Source organism: Homo sapiens, chromosome 17 (assembly GCF_000001405.40).
Source record: "Homo sapiens chromosome 17, GRCh38.p14 Primary Assembly".
Classification (NCBI taxonomy): Eukaryota; Metazoa; Chordata; class Mammalia; order Primates; family Hominidae; genus Homo; species Homo sapiens.
In genome coordinates, this window is record NC_000017.11 from 62,577,267 (window position 1) to 62,591,669 (window position 14,403).

The 14,403-nt window shown below is 40.1% G+C and overlaps 1 protein-coding gene across 43 annotated transcripts in view; it reads left to right on the top strand.

The window, feature by feature from the left end:
- TLK2 (tousled like kinase 2) overlaps positions 1-14,403 on the top strand; it is a 144,568-nt gene that overhangs the window by 106,353 nt on the left and 23,812 nt on the right. For 42 of the 43 annotated variants that reach the window (XM_024450552.2, XM_024450553.2, XM_047435179.1 and 39 more), the window contains 3 exons: positions 1,211-1,308; positions 2,845-2,926; positions 8,869-8,960. In XM_024450552.2, the coding sequence (XP_024306320.1) occupies positions 1,211-1,308; positions 2,845-2,926; positions 8,869-8,960 (272 nt within the window). Of the gene's footprint in view, positions 1-1,210; positions 1,309-2,844; positions 2,927-8,868; positions 8,961-12,195; positions 12,417-14,403 lie in introns of those variants that run through there. The other variant, XM_011524231.2, reaches the window with a different exon arrangement.

The window sequence follows — 14,403 nt, forward strand, 5'->3', positions numbered from 1 at the left end:
TCTTTGCATTTTCAAGTCAATTCCAGCAACCCAATGACAGTGTTTTTCCCCCTAGTGATCTATCAGCAGATAATTCTGTACACATCATAAGGCTTCCCAAGTGGTTATCCTTGGAGTAAAATTTAAATATATAACAAGAGCAGATGGTTTTGAAATTGATGTGAAGACTCCTGTCATATTTCAAATCACATAGCAGCTCTTATTCCTTGCCTAAACTAGCTAAAAAGAGAAAGTGTTATGTGAACCTTATTCAAATACAAAGGCACATAACATAGAATTTGTTATTGATGATGTTCACTGAGATATCTTAGATGTGGATTACTCAGCTCTTAAAATTCAGAAGCCCATACATTGGTCGATGCTCTTTATAGGTGATAATGGTCAGTAAAGATTTACTAAACTGCTTTTGGTATGTGTGCTTTTGTTTTTTATTTCACATATTAGTTTTCATGCTGTTTTCCCACTGGGTTCTCAGAGCTTGTTAAATAAGTAGAACTTGCTGGGGATGGTGGCTCACACCTGTAATGCCAGCACTTTGGGAGGCTGTGGTGGGTGGATCACCTGAGGTCAGGAGTTCAAGACCAGCCTGCCCAGCATGGTGAAACCCCGACTCTACTAAAAATACAAAAAATTAGCTGGGCGTGGTGGCATGTACCTGTAATCCCAGCTACTCGGGAGGCTGAGGCAGGAGAATCACTTGGACCTGGGAGGCGGAGGTTGCAGTGAACCGAGATCGTGCCATTGCACTCCAGCCTGGGTGACAACAGCGAAACTCCATCTTAAAAAATAAAAATAAGTAGAACTTAAGTCACCAAGTGTAATCCATACTTAAAGATGAGAACCGAACCAGATAGATAACCTGATTTTTGTAAAAAATGTTTCCATGTCTAAATGTATATGCACAAAACATTCCTGAAAACTTATGTAAGAAACTTAATAGTGGTTATTACATCTCAGGAGTGGGCATGGAGAGGAGGGAGGAGGAGGGTAGGGAACTTTTACTTTTCTTACTGAACTCCTCTGTATGGTTTGAATTTTATTATTTTCTATGGGCTCATTTTTATGATTAAAATTCTTAAAGAAATCTTTCAATGCAAAGCACCTTCCTTTAGCCTTTCATAAGATAAATGTCTGCTATTGTTTTTGAAATAAGATCCCGAAAAGGTAAAGTTCCCCCTATTTTGTGCTATTTCTTTCCTTTTCGCTTTAGGAGGAAGCAGAGATCCAGGCAGAGCTGGAGAGACTAGAAAGGGTTAGAAATCTACATATCAGGGAACTAAAAAGGATACATAATGAAGATAATTCACAGTAAGCTACTTCAGGGCATATTGGGTTGGAGATTGCTAAGCATTTTATGATATGAATTGAATGGTCTAGAATAATGTGTTTGCTTAATGTAAGTTACATAAATGATTCCATGGTGTATTTAGCTCTTTTGTAGCATCTAATACAATTTTGTGAACAAAATTATGATTTGCCTTGGTTTAAATATACAATTGTATTAAATTTATATATTAAGTATATATGTGTATACATATAGCATTTTTACATGAATAAAGATTACTAAAACAATATGGCTTTGTAATTGTAAATGGTTGAGATATGTTGCATATTCAGATTTTCCTACAGAGCCTTAAGAAAGGGAAGATGGGTCACAGTGTGGTGTTGTGGAAAGAGTATTGGGTTGAGATGACACTCGGTTTCTGAATGACCTTTAAGGGCTATTCAGGTGTTGAGATTTTAAGTAAGACTCTTAAGTTCAGTACATTAATTGTAGATGAATTGAAACTGGGAAAAGTAGGTTGAAAGTAGAAAGGGGTTTTTATAAGTAATCTGTTTTTTCCCCATATTTTTTGGACCCTGAAACATTTTTTCATAAAGCCATAGCTTGTATATTTTTGTTTGGCTTATATGAGCTTTGGACCTGTCTTTCTGTTAAAGTGGCAGACAACAGCAGGTACCACTTCCTGAGAGCTCTCTGTGTATCAGGCTTGGTCCTAAGTGCCCTTAGTGCTCTCATTTAATCCGCAGGATAACCCAGTCATCTTTAATACATTAATCAGAAAACAAGCTTAGAGAAATTAAATTAACTTGCCCAGGGACCCATAAATAATGTGACCAAAGAGTTCAACTTGGATCTTTTTCATCTAAACCACCATGCAGTAATGTCTCTCCAGATAGGCATCCTACTTTCTTAAAATCCATGTAAAGTAATTTCAGAATTAATAGTGAGATTGTTTAAGATCAGGAACTAGGTAAAAATATTTTTAAATTTGTTTTTGCCAGAACTTGTCATTTCTTTATCATATTATTAAGAAAATACCCAAGGTAGAGTCTAATATGGGGAACACAGTTATATCTGTCTTAAAGAGAGAATAATGAATGCACATAGAACATGTGACTCACTTTAAAATCAAATCTGTTTTTAAGGAAATAGCAAGTGTCTTGGAATTTTACTGTATGTAGTTTTGAAATGGTGGGAACATGTGGCCCTTGAATAGTTTGGAGGAGCCAAATAGCACAATCTAAAAATCTCTAATCTACCCTCCCTCATTGTATAGCAGGGCAGAAAAAAGGAGGAGGAGCAAGAAAGGTCTAGTGTAGCTACACTGAGACCAGCACCCAAGTCCTGTGGCTCTATAGCTGGTGCTGTTCATTGTAATTACACTGCCTCTTTGAACTGTGTAACTTTATACTCAGTATTTGCCATGTTGATGTTGATTGTCAAACTACCAACAGCAGCTATAATTATATGTATAATGTGTTAGATATTCTGGGAATTTTGCAAGCGTGGAAGACTGTAGTCCATGATCTCAGGGTGTTACATGTTCCCTGTTTCCACAGATTTAAAGATCATCCAACGCTAAATGACAGATATTTGTTGTTACATCTTTTGGGTAGAGGAGGTTTCAGTGAAGTTTACAAGGTAAGTATAAGGAACTGGATACAAAGACTGGGGGTTAAATTATCGGCTCCTACCAACTTGGAGAACATTAAGAATACTGATAATTGTAGGTTGATATCCATTGGTTGAAATTCAAAAACTTTAAAAACCTGTATCTTTGGGAAAACAGCTTTCAATAAACCTAAGTGACCAAGCAGAATACAGTATTGCCATTTTCAAGTTTGAAAAATAAATAATTATAGATTTAAAAAACAAGAAGGAAATATACTGGGTCGTGGAATTATGATTTTTATTCTGGTTCTGTACTTCCTGCCTCATACATATTTGTTAGAAAAAAGTATGTGCTATCTTTCTTTCTTTTACAGAATAGATGTGTCAAACCTGTTTCCAATAAGAATAGGTTTTTTTCCATTGGAAAACCTGCTTTTTGTTTTAGAAGTGTTCTAATATCATTTACTAGCACTGGCAGTCTGAAAGAGTGTCCTGGCTTAGAGTGCTTCAGTTGGGCTAGCGAAGTACAGGCTGCTGAGCTTCCAGGTTGATTTTTACCAAATGAGGGATTCAATATGTTTTAAATATAGCTACAGATCCATAACATGTGGGTTTGATTTTTCTACGTGTTTCTGGCACCTGTCTGTAAAGTACAGAATTGTTTATTAAGTAGTCTTTGTTGCATAGCTGTCCCTTTCAGAAATACAGCTTTCACTGTTAGGATTTATGTTATGCTCATATGAATTTATATGTGATAAATCTTTTCAGTAAAATAGTTTTCATTGCAAATAAAAACGGTAAAACTATTTCTACTGTTTTCTTATTTTAATTTTTTTTAAATTGTGGTTTTATTTATTTATTTATTTTAGAGATGGGGTCTTGCTCTATTGCCCAGGCTGGAGTAAGGTAGCACAATCATAGTTCATTGCAGCCTCAAACTGCTGGGCACAAGCAAGCCTCCTGCCTCAACCTCTTGAGTAGCTGGGACTACAGGCCCAGTGCACTAATTTTTAAATTTTTTCTAGAGACGGGGTCTTGCTACATTGCCCAGGCAGGTCTCAAACTTATGGGCTCAAGCAATCCTCCTGCCTTGGCCTCCCAGGGTGCTGAGATTACAGGTGTGAGACACTGCACCCAGCTGTGATTTTATTAAGTATATGTTTCAGTGGCATTAAGTACTACAGTGTTGTGCGACTGACATCACTACATCACTGTTCATCTCCAGAACTATATTATGATTAGTGCACTACTCTACTGGTTTTGATATTCTAGTATCTTTTTTTTTTTTTTTTTGGAGACATTGTCTCACTCTGACACCCAGGCTAGAGTGCAGCAGTGCAGTCTCGGCTCACTGCAACCTCCCACTCCAGAGCTGAAGTGTACTCCCATCTCAGCCTCCCAAAGTGCTGGGATTACAGGTGTGTACCACCATACCTGGCTAATTTTTGTATTTTTTTTTATAGTGACAGGGTTTCATCATGTTGCCCAGGCTGGTCTTGAACTCTTGGGCTCAAGTGATCACACCTTGGCTTCCCAAAGTGTTGGGGTTACAGGCATGAGCCACTGCACCTGGCTTCTAGTATCTTATTTGTATTTTTTAATCTGTGTTTATAAGTAGGATTGGCCCATAGTCACCTTTTGTATGCAAGCAGCTTTGTCAAAATTTGATGTCATAATTATTCTAGCTACTTAGATAGAGTTGTGAAGTCTCTTTTTTTCCATGCTCTGGAACCCTTTTCATCACTTGGGAATTGTTGGCTCCTTGAAAGTTTGTTAGAGTTGACTCATAAAAATTCTTGGGCAGGACAGTCTCTGTGGCTCATGTCTATAATCCCAGCACTCTGGGAGCCGAGGCAGGAGGATCACTTGAGCACAGGAGTTTGAAACCAGCCTGGGCAACATAGCAAGACCATGCCTCTACAAAGAAAGAAAAGAAAAATCTCCTGGGAGATGTTGAGTTAGTGGAAAACATTTGGCTGTGTTTTCAATTTCTTCTACAACTATTGATATATTCAGATTTTCTCTCCCTTCTTAAGTCAGTTTTGGTAATTTAATTTTTCTAGGAAATCTATTTCATTTAGATTTTTTTTTCTTTTTTAATAGAGACAGGGTTTCACTGTGCTGCCTAAGCTGGTCTCAAACTCCTAGCCTGAAGTGATCTTCACCCCTCAGTCTTCCAAAGTGCTAGGATTACAGCCACCATGCTTGGCCTAGATTTTTTAAAAATATTTTCCACATCTTAGTTACTTCTCTGTTCTTGTAAAATTTTTATTTTTGTGTTTCTTGATTGATAGGCTAGAGATTAGTCAGTGTTGTTATTAATTTTTTTCCTAAGAATCAACTTTTTTGTTGATCAAAACTATTTGGTTAGTTTTCTATTTCATTAATGTCTGCTTTCATTCCTTCTTTCTGCTTTCTTCATTTTTATTTATGTTCATTCTTAAGTCAATGCTTAGTTTATTTTCTTTGTAATTTTTTATTGTAAAAAGATAGATATAAAATTTACCATCTTAACCATTTTTAAGTGTGTAGTTCAGTAAAGTACATTCACACTTTTTGTGAAATAGATCTCAAACTTTCTTTCATCTTCCAAAACTGAAACTCTGTAGCCATTAACCAACTTTCCTTTCCCCCTCCTCCTTGTCCTTGGAACCATTTTACATTCTGTTACTCTGAATTTGACTATGTTTAGATTTCTTACAGAAGTGGACTCATACTACGTCTTTTTATAATCAGCTTATTTTACTTAGCATAATGTCCTCAAGGTTCATCTGTGCTATAGCATGTGACAAGATTGCCTTCCTTTTTAAGATCACTTAATATTTTATTGTATGTACCACATTTTGTTTATCCTCCTCTGTCGATGGACACTTGGGTTGCTTCCATCTCTCGCCTACCGTGTATAGTGCTGTTGTTTTTGTTTTTGTTTTGTTTGTTTGTTTGTTTTGAGACAGAGTCTTGCTCTGTCGCCCAGGCTGGAGTGCAGTGGTGCAATCTCGGCTCACTGCAACCTCCATCTCCCCAGTTCAAGTGATTCTGCTGCCTCAGCCTCTTCCAGTAGCTAGGATTACAGGTGTGCACCACCAAGCCCAGCTATTTTTTTTGTATTTTTAGTAGAGACGGGATTTCACTGTGTTGGCCAGGCTAGTCTCGAACTCCTGACCTCAAATGATCCGCCCATCTCTGCCTCCCAAAGTGCTGGGATTATAGGCACAAGCCACCGCACCCAGCCTATAGTGCTGTTTTGAATTTGGGTGTCCAGTTATCTCTGTGAGACTCTGCTTTCAATTCTTTTGGATGTATACCTAGAAGTGTATGTAATTTTAAATCATCAAAATTGGTTCTTGGTGCCTCCCAGTTACTTTTAGTAATTTGATCATCCTATTTTTTCCTAATGTATTTCTTCAAACATTTTATTTCTTTTTCTCTTGAGACAGAGTCTCACTCTGTCGTCCAGGCTGTAGTGTAATGGTGTGATCTTGGCTCACTGCTGCAACCTCTGCCTCCCGGGTTCAAGTGATTCTCCTGGCTCAGCCTCCCGAGTAGCTGGGATTACAGGCGCCCGACCCCACACCCGGATAATTTTTGTATTTTTTGGTAGAGACGGGGTTTTACTATGTTGGCTAGGCTGGTTTCAAATTCCTGACCTCGTGATCTGCCTGCCTCGGCCTCCCAAAGTGCTGGGATTACAGGTGTGAGCCACCACGCTGAGCCCCACACATTTTATTTCTGAAATCTAAATACTTCTTACAGTGATGTGTGCATTTAATGTAGTTTTTCTTTTGCTGTTCTCCACTCTCCACAATCCTTTCTTAAGTCAGTGGTAGGTCACAGTGTCTTGGATTTAGAATAGAAGTACAGTGTAGTAGTTAGAGAAAATTATGCTTGAAATAGCATTGGTGCTCTTATAAATTGGGTGGTATTTAATGTTTTTTTCTTTTGTGGTTTTTTTTTTTTTTTTTTTTTTTTTGATACGGAATCTCGCTCTGTCGCCCAGGCTGGAGAGTGCAGTGGTGCTATCTCGGCTCACTGCAACCTCTGCCTCCCGGGTTCACGCCATTCTCCTGCCTCAGCTTCCCAAGTAGCTGGGACTACAGGTGTCCGCCACCACACCCGGCTAATTTTTTGTATATTTTTTAGTAGAGACAGGGTTTCACCATGTTAGGATGGTCTCGATCTCCCGACCTCATGATCCACCTCCCTCGGCCTCCCAAAGTGCTGAGATTACAGGTGTGAGCCATCGCGCCCGGCTTATTTAATGTTTTTAAAAATTATTTGAAATGGTTTTCTACTGTGAAGCCATAATGGTATTCATGATTGTGAATGGACTGAAGATTCTTTAAGAAAAGAAGTTCAAAAGTTTCCATTTTTGGCCGGGCATGGCCTCTACTGCCTCTAACCCAATATTTTGAGAGGCCAAGGTGGGAAGATTACTTGAGGCCAGGAGTTCAAAAACAGCCTGGCAAACACATTGAAGCCCTGTCTAGATAAAAAAATAAAAATAAAAAATGTTGCAATTTTTGTGAAATAAGATATTATGTCTGAAGTGAGTGGTTTTTATACTTTAAACATACTGGTTTTAATTTGGTATAAATGATGGAAGTTTCTCTATTTTATAAGCAGCTCTCTCTACATGCAGTGCTTATCCAGAGAAACTTAGGTTTAGATAGATCTGTAAAGTAGTGATCACCCTATTTAGGTACTGTTTTCTGCACTTGTTGCCTTCATTTATTTGTATATTTGTGGAAATTAGCAGATGGGTGATAACAGTGTTGAAACTGAAGTAGTAAGCTTTTAATCTAAACTTTACAAACTAAGAAAAACTATTCTAAAGAAGCTATGCAATAAATTCTTTTGTTTGGAGGGAAATCTTCAATTGAATTGAAAGATTACTTTATCAAATTATGATTTACACCCAGCTTCCTCAAAAATCCATGTTACCTTTTTCACTGTGCTATAGCAAGCACTACATAGCTGATGCAGGACTTGCTGGCAGTGGTGGCCATTGGGGAAAGCTGGTTCCTGCCTCTGGACAGTGCTGGAGAAGTGACTTGGGGTGACTAACTTCAGCCATTTTTGGGATTAGAAACTGCTTTTCGGCCAGGCGCAGTGGCTCACGCCTGTAATCCCAGCACTTTGGGAGGCCGAAGCGGGGCGGATCGCCTGAGGTCAGGAGACCAGCCTGACCAACATGGTGAAACCCCATCTCTACTAAAAATACAAAAATTAGCCGGGCGTGATGGTGCGTGCCTGTAATCCCAGCTACTCAGGAAGCTGAGGCAGGAGAATCACTTGAACCCGAGAGACAGAGGTTGCAGTGAGCCAAGATTGCACCGTTGCACTCCAGCCTGGGCGACAGAGCGAGACTCCGTCTCAAAAACAACAACAACAAAACCACTTTTCATTTACCCAGCATATAGAGATGGGACTAAAGGCAGGGCTGTTTTTTGTTCTTGTTTCTCTTTTTATTTTAATAAACAATATGCCAAATTACAGGGTGGTTTTGTAAACAATCATACCAAAGAAGTATATTGTGAGGGGTTATTTTCTCCAGGAGGCAGGCAGTGTGTGTCCCTGGAATTTCAAAAGTGACAGGATGTTTGAAGCTTGTAAAGTCCCAGTGTCAACTGAAGGATAAGAGACAACCTAAGGCAGACGGGTCCCAGACAGGAATAGATGGTGTCCAGAAAGAGAATGGTTGGGAAATGATTCTGAAGGCAGGGGCTATCTTTCTGTTTGTGGTGTTGGCCTGGTTTTATGTTCTAAATCCCTTGGTGCCAGTGTGTCTGGAGACTTCTAAATTATCTAATCACAAGTTTCAAGAAGGTGCTTGCAACACTGATATAAGTATGTGATGTATTTAATAATGTATTTTGGACTTTGATTATGTTATATGTTAAATTAAAGCTTCACATCAGTTACCTGTAATTTTTCTTAACATTTACCCAGTATATAATTTATTCTCTTTATAGGCATTTGATCTAACAGAGCAAAGATACGTAGCTGTGAAAATTCACCAGTTAAATAAAAACTGGAGAGATGAGAAAAAGGAGAATTACCACAAGTAAGTGATACTTGAGTGTCTGACTTTTTAAAATTAAATAATACCTGTAGTTTGAGCATTATGCTACAAGCTTTACGTGCATTGTTGTTGGTTTTGTTTTATGTAATCTTCATAACTGCCCTGAGAGAATAAATACATTCTCAGTGTTACGACGAGGAAACTGATGCTTACAGAATTGGAGTAACAGGAAGTGGCTGAGCTGGTATTTAAATCCAGACTTTCCTGAATCCAAAGCCCTAGGTACTCTTAACCTTCCCTTCCTTTGTGGCTAGAAATAGCTATAGTAAATAAAGCCTTAGAAATCATTTTTGCTGGCCGGGCACGGTGGCTCACACCTGTAATCCCAGCACTTTGGGAGGCTGAGGCAGGCAGATCACGAAGTCAGGAGATCGAGACCATCCTGGCTAACACGGTGAAACCCCGTCTCTACTAAAAATACAAAAAATTAGTTGGGCGTGGTGGCAGGCATCTGTAGTCCCAGCTACTCGGGAGGCTGAGGTAGGAGAATGGCGTGAACTCGGGAGGCAGAGCTTGCAGTGAGCCGAGATCACGTCACTGCACTCCAGCCTGGGTGATGGTGCGAGTGCGAGACTGCATCTCAAAAAAAAAAAAAATTGTTGCTTGTCTATAGAAACTAGACCCTAGGGAGCTGCTGGTGGGCTGTTTCTGCTACTTCAGTCATTTCCTTCTAGAAGAGACTGGGGGCACCTGGTGTGTCTTGGTGGCACCTGTTTGACTTGTTCAGCCTCTCTGTGCTATGTTCTCCTCCCGGTCACAGTTTGCCCATCTCAAAGTTCTTGGTCTTCAGGGTCCCACTTCTGTGCTTGCTTCTCTATAGAATAGTACTAGTGGCAGCCTTCATCTGTACTTGGGATGTGGGGTAGAGAGGGGGGGCTTCTTTAAAATGAATTGTTACAATATGCACAGCTGTGAATTGCTTTGTTCCACTGATGTCAGGTTTTGCCTATATCTCCCCAAGCTTCTGAACGTTGGAGTTCATGGCTCATTTGCTTTAGAGGCTATGCAGACTTAATTTGCTATTAGGTTCCCCACTGGGCTTAGTTTTGTTTCCTTGTTGTTGGTACAAGTATTGAATCAGACAAGTCCTGCCCTTGAAAGGAGGGGACAGGCTTTTTTGACAAAGCAAACACCTCCTTTCTATAAAGGCAGTCTTGGTTTTTTTTGGTGTTTTGTTTGTTTGTTTGTTTGTTTTATAAATAATAATTTGGAAGGGGAAAAACAGTGGTCTTTGAAGTAGCCCTTTAGTTGGCTTCTAGCCTGGTCCAAGGCAACTCTTGCTCTATACCTCTTGTTCATCAGGGACCCAGAAGTTCTTCCTGTTCCAGACAGATGGGCAGTGGTGCTCAGCACTGGAGAAGGGAAGGTTCCTGCTACATTAAGAGCAACAGGGCTTAGCAGAGGGAGAAGGGATGACCTGTGGCACCCTGCGTGTGTTTCTTAGGTGACAGGCAGCTGCAGTCCAGATGCTCCTGAGGAGCAGTTACATTATTATAAGAACATTCCAGTCACTTGATATGTAGGGATGAGTGGCACACCGTAGTGAGTGCCAGGAGCACTTCAGAGAAGGAAAGCACATGTTGTTCTGACCAGTTATAAGTGAGCAATGCCACTACTGTATTGAGACCCTAAGAATGCCTAAGGGTGTTGGACCAGTACATGCTTCTCTTTAAAAATGCCCTGTAGGGCATTTTTATACATATACAGATGTATATGTATAAAATATACGTATACATCTGTATATGTATAAAATATACGTATACATCTGTATATGTATAAAATATACGTATACATCTGTATATGTATAAAATATACGTATACATCTGTATATGTATAAAATATACGTATACATCTGTATATGTATAAAATATACGTATACATCTGTATATGTATAAAATATACGTATACATCTATACATATACATATTTTTATACATATACGTCTCCTGTGCTGAGACGTATATGTATTTTGCCTAGTCTCAGTATCCAGGTTTCTGGCTGACCTTGCAGAGAGCTCTAGTGTTGGATACCACAGCAACTGCAGGTGGGCGTTCTGCCCATCTAGCCTTTTGAAACACTGAGGAGTGGAAGCCGGGCCTTGTCCCTCCTTCAAACAGTTGGCAAGCACTCTGAGGCCTGGTGGGTATGGATTGGGTGTTTTCTCACATATGTCTCTACCAGACAGAATCAGAGAGCACGTGAAGGGGATGGTCCTATTTGTCTAAGTTCTTTCCATTCAAGTTCCAGGCTGGCATTGGTGCCTTTCTACTCTGTTTCCTCATCAGAGGAGGGATCATGGTGCCTGAGCTCATCTGAGGAGGGGGCATTTCCTATTTGGCAGACACCTTGGGGAGAGGGTGTGTGAGTTGTTGTGACCTTCATTCTTGCTTGGGCAGCTGGGGGGAGTTCTTTTTTTTGTTTTGTTTTGTTTTCCAATCAGGAAGCAGCACTGAGGAGACAATTCTTAAGTACCTCCACCTTTCTTTTGAAAGAATTGGCTTTCTAAGTGATATAAAATCATACTCATGCATTTCAGGCTATAGAAAATGGCGAATTGACAAAATGTCATTAACTGCTTTGAACTAAAAGGAGACTTACATCAAGCACATAACGGACATTGATGAGTGCTTTAAAAATTCAGTATTAAACTAAAAAGTAGTACACTTCAGTGTTGTGACATTATAAAATATGAAAATGCTATAACCCTGCTAGTAAGGTCTGTTAATTGCGTTTCCATTCATGGGGATGACTTCCCAGTCCCATCTGGAATCAAGACATTTATTCTGGTAAAAAAGAAGGCAGATTTCAAAAGAAAATAAAAGGTGTTTGTTTTGTTGTATTTTGAATTTTGTTCTGTCACTTCATTCCTCTCCTCCTCCTACCATAAGCAAACAAAAAGTAAACTGATTGTTTTATTTATATTATAAAAACAAATTTTATTAAAAATTTTTATTTTAAAAATTTAGTATTACGACTGCTTTAACTCCCTCAAATAACATATTAAAAATTCTGCCGTAGGAAAAATTTCACTTAAAATTATTTGCAGAAGTAATTTGTATCGGAGTTAGTATGCTTTTGTATGATACTCTATTCTAATTTTTTAAAGATAAAAGTAAGCATTTTGAAAAATCTAAATATATGTTAACTTATAAGAGAGTAAAAGACATTTTGGTGGATGAGTTTCTTCCAGTTTCTCATTAAATTCTCTGTATTTGTAGTGCATGGATCTCTTGGATTATAAGTTGAAAGTTGAACATGGCTCAGTCATTGCCTTGCTGATGAAGTAAGAGATGCGGTTTTAGAGCTGGGCACAGGTTCAGCGACACTCTGCAAATTCCCTTAATTGGCGAGAACTTTGAATGACATTTTGATTCTTAAATTTTTGCTGCCTTTTGTTTCCTGTGTTTTCTGTACCTCAACAAGAGAAATTGGTTTCTGCTGTAAAATGCACAAAATCAAGAAGTTAAAACCAAAGGGTAGAGCGCTATACATTTATAGCATGCTAGAGTGAAAAATAACTTAGAACAGTGATCTGTTTAGTCCCTAGATTTTTAAACTTTTTGTTTGTTTTTTGTTTTTTTGAGACAGAGTCTCACTCTGTTGCCCAGACTGGAGTGCAGTGGCGCGATCTCCACTCACTGCAAGCTCCGCCTCCTGGGTTCACGCCATTCTCCTGCCTCAGCCTCCCGAGTAGCTGGGACTACATGTGCCTGCCACCAAGCCTGGCTAACTTTTTTGTATTTTTAGTAGAGACGGGGTTTCACCGTGTTAGCCAGGATGGTCTCGATCTCCTGACCTCGTGATCCATCCGCCTCAGCCTCCCAAAGTGCTGGGATTACAGGCATGAGCCACCGTGCCCGGCCTTTAACCTTGAAAAAAAAAACAAAAAAAACAAACAGCAGCACCGGCTGGGCACGGTGGCTCACGCCTGTAATCCCAGCACTTTGGGAGGCGGAGGTGGGTGGATTGCCTGAGGTCAGGAGTTCAAGACCAGCCTGACCAACATGGTGAAACCCCGTCTCTACTAAAAATACAAAAAAAGTTAGCCAGGCATGGTGGCAGGCACCTACCTGTAATCCCAGCTGCTCAGGAAGCCGAGGAAGGAGAATTGCTTGAACCCAGGAGGCAGAGGTTGTGGTGAGCCAAGATCGCGCCACTGTATGTACTCCAGCCTGGGCGACAGAGCGAGACTCCGTCTCAAAAACAAAAACAGCAGCACGCTTATTTTATCAAATGCAATATTACAAGGAATCTTAATGTATTTAAAAATGCAAGTGTGCTGGCAGAAAGGGGACTGATGATTCTGTGACTCTGCAGTTGCAGAAGCTCCGTGTAGGAGATTATTTGGACATAGCGATTAACCCTCTTAATCAGGTGCCACCTCCTTCAGGGCACATGAGATCATATTAAATTCTTTTTGAGATAGGGTCTCACTATGTTGCCCAGGCTGGTCTTTAACTCCTGGGCTCAAGCAATCTTCCCACTTCAGCCCGCCAAAGTGCTGGGATTACAGGCATGAGCCACCACACCCAACAAGATGGTATTAAATCTCTTTACTGTTTCTTGAATGTATTTTTCAGTCAGTTTTGTAAAATAAAAACGTACATACTTTTTCCTCTCCTGCTTATTGCCCTTAAGCCTTTAAATTCTAAACAAATTGTAATGCATCCTATTTAGGAGCTAGATTTGGTGATGTGCTATTGTATGATTACTAATAGAAAATCTGGGCAGGGCGTAGTGGTCCATACCTGTGATCCCAGCACTTTGGGAGGCCGAGGCCGGTGGATCATGAGGTCAGGAGTTTGAGACCAGCCTGGCCAATATGGTGAAACCCGGTCTCTACTAAAAATACAAAATTAGCTGGGCATGGTGGCACGCACCTGTAATCCCACCTACTTGGGAGGCTGAGGCAGAAGAATCCCTTGAACCCAGGAGGCGGAAGTTGCAGTGAGCCAAGATGGCACCACTGCACCCCAGCCTGGGCGCCAGAGCAAGACTGTCTTAAAAAAAGAAAAGAGAAAGAAAATCTGTATGTTTCTAGCCCTTCTGTAAAATATGAAGAAAAGTGCTCTTAGCACTCTGTGTAAAACTGTACTGTTAAATATATGTAATTTAAAAAAAAAAAAAACCAGCGTGGAGCTACTTTGGAATTGAGGGTTGGGGAGGCCAAAGCTACATTTGCTGAGTGTCTGCAGCAAGCTCACTTCAAAACATCCAGTCCAGTGGTGCCGAAACCGAAGCTCAGAGAGGTGGAGCCACAGAGCCACAGCAAGGAGCCAGGCCTCTGTGTCCCCAGGGTAGTGTGTGTTCTAACACCTGCCTCAGTGCTGGCAAGTCGTTTTTTGGAAAAACGTAAAGATGATGAAATGAAGCGTCAGGGGAGGCAAAATGGCCAAAAGTGGCAGCTTGGAAACTAAGCCCAAATA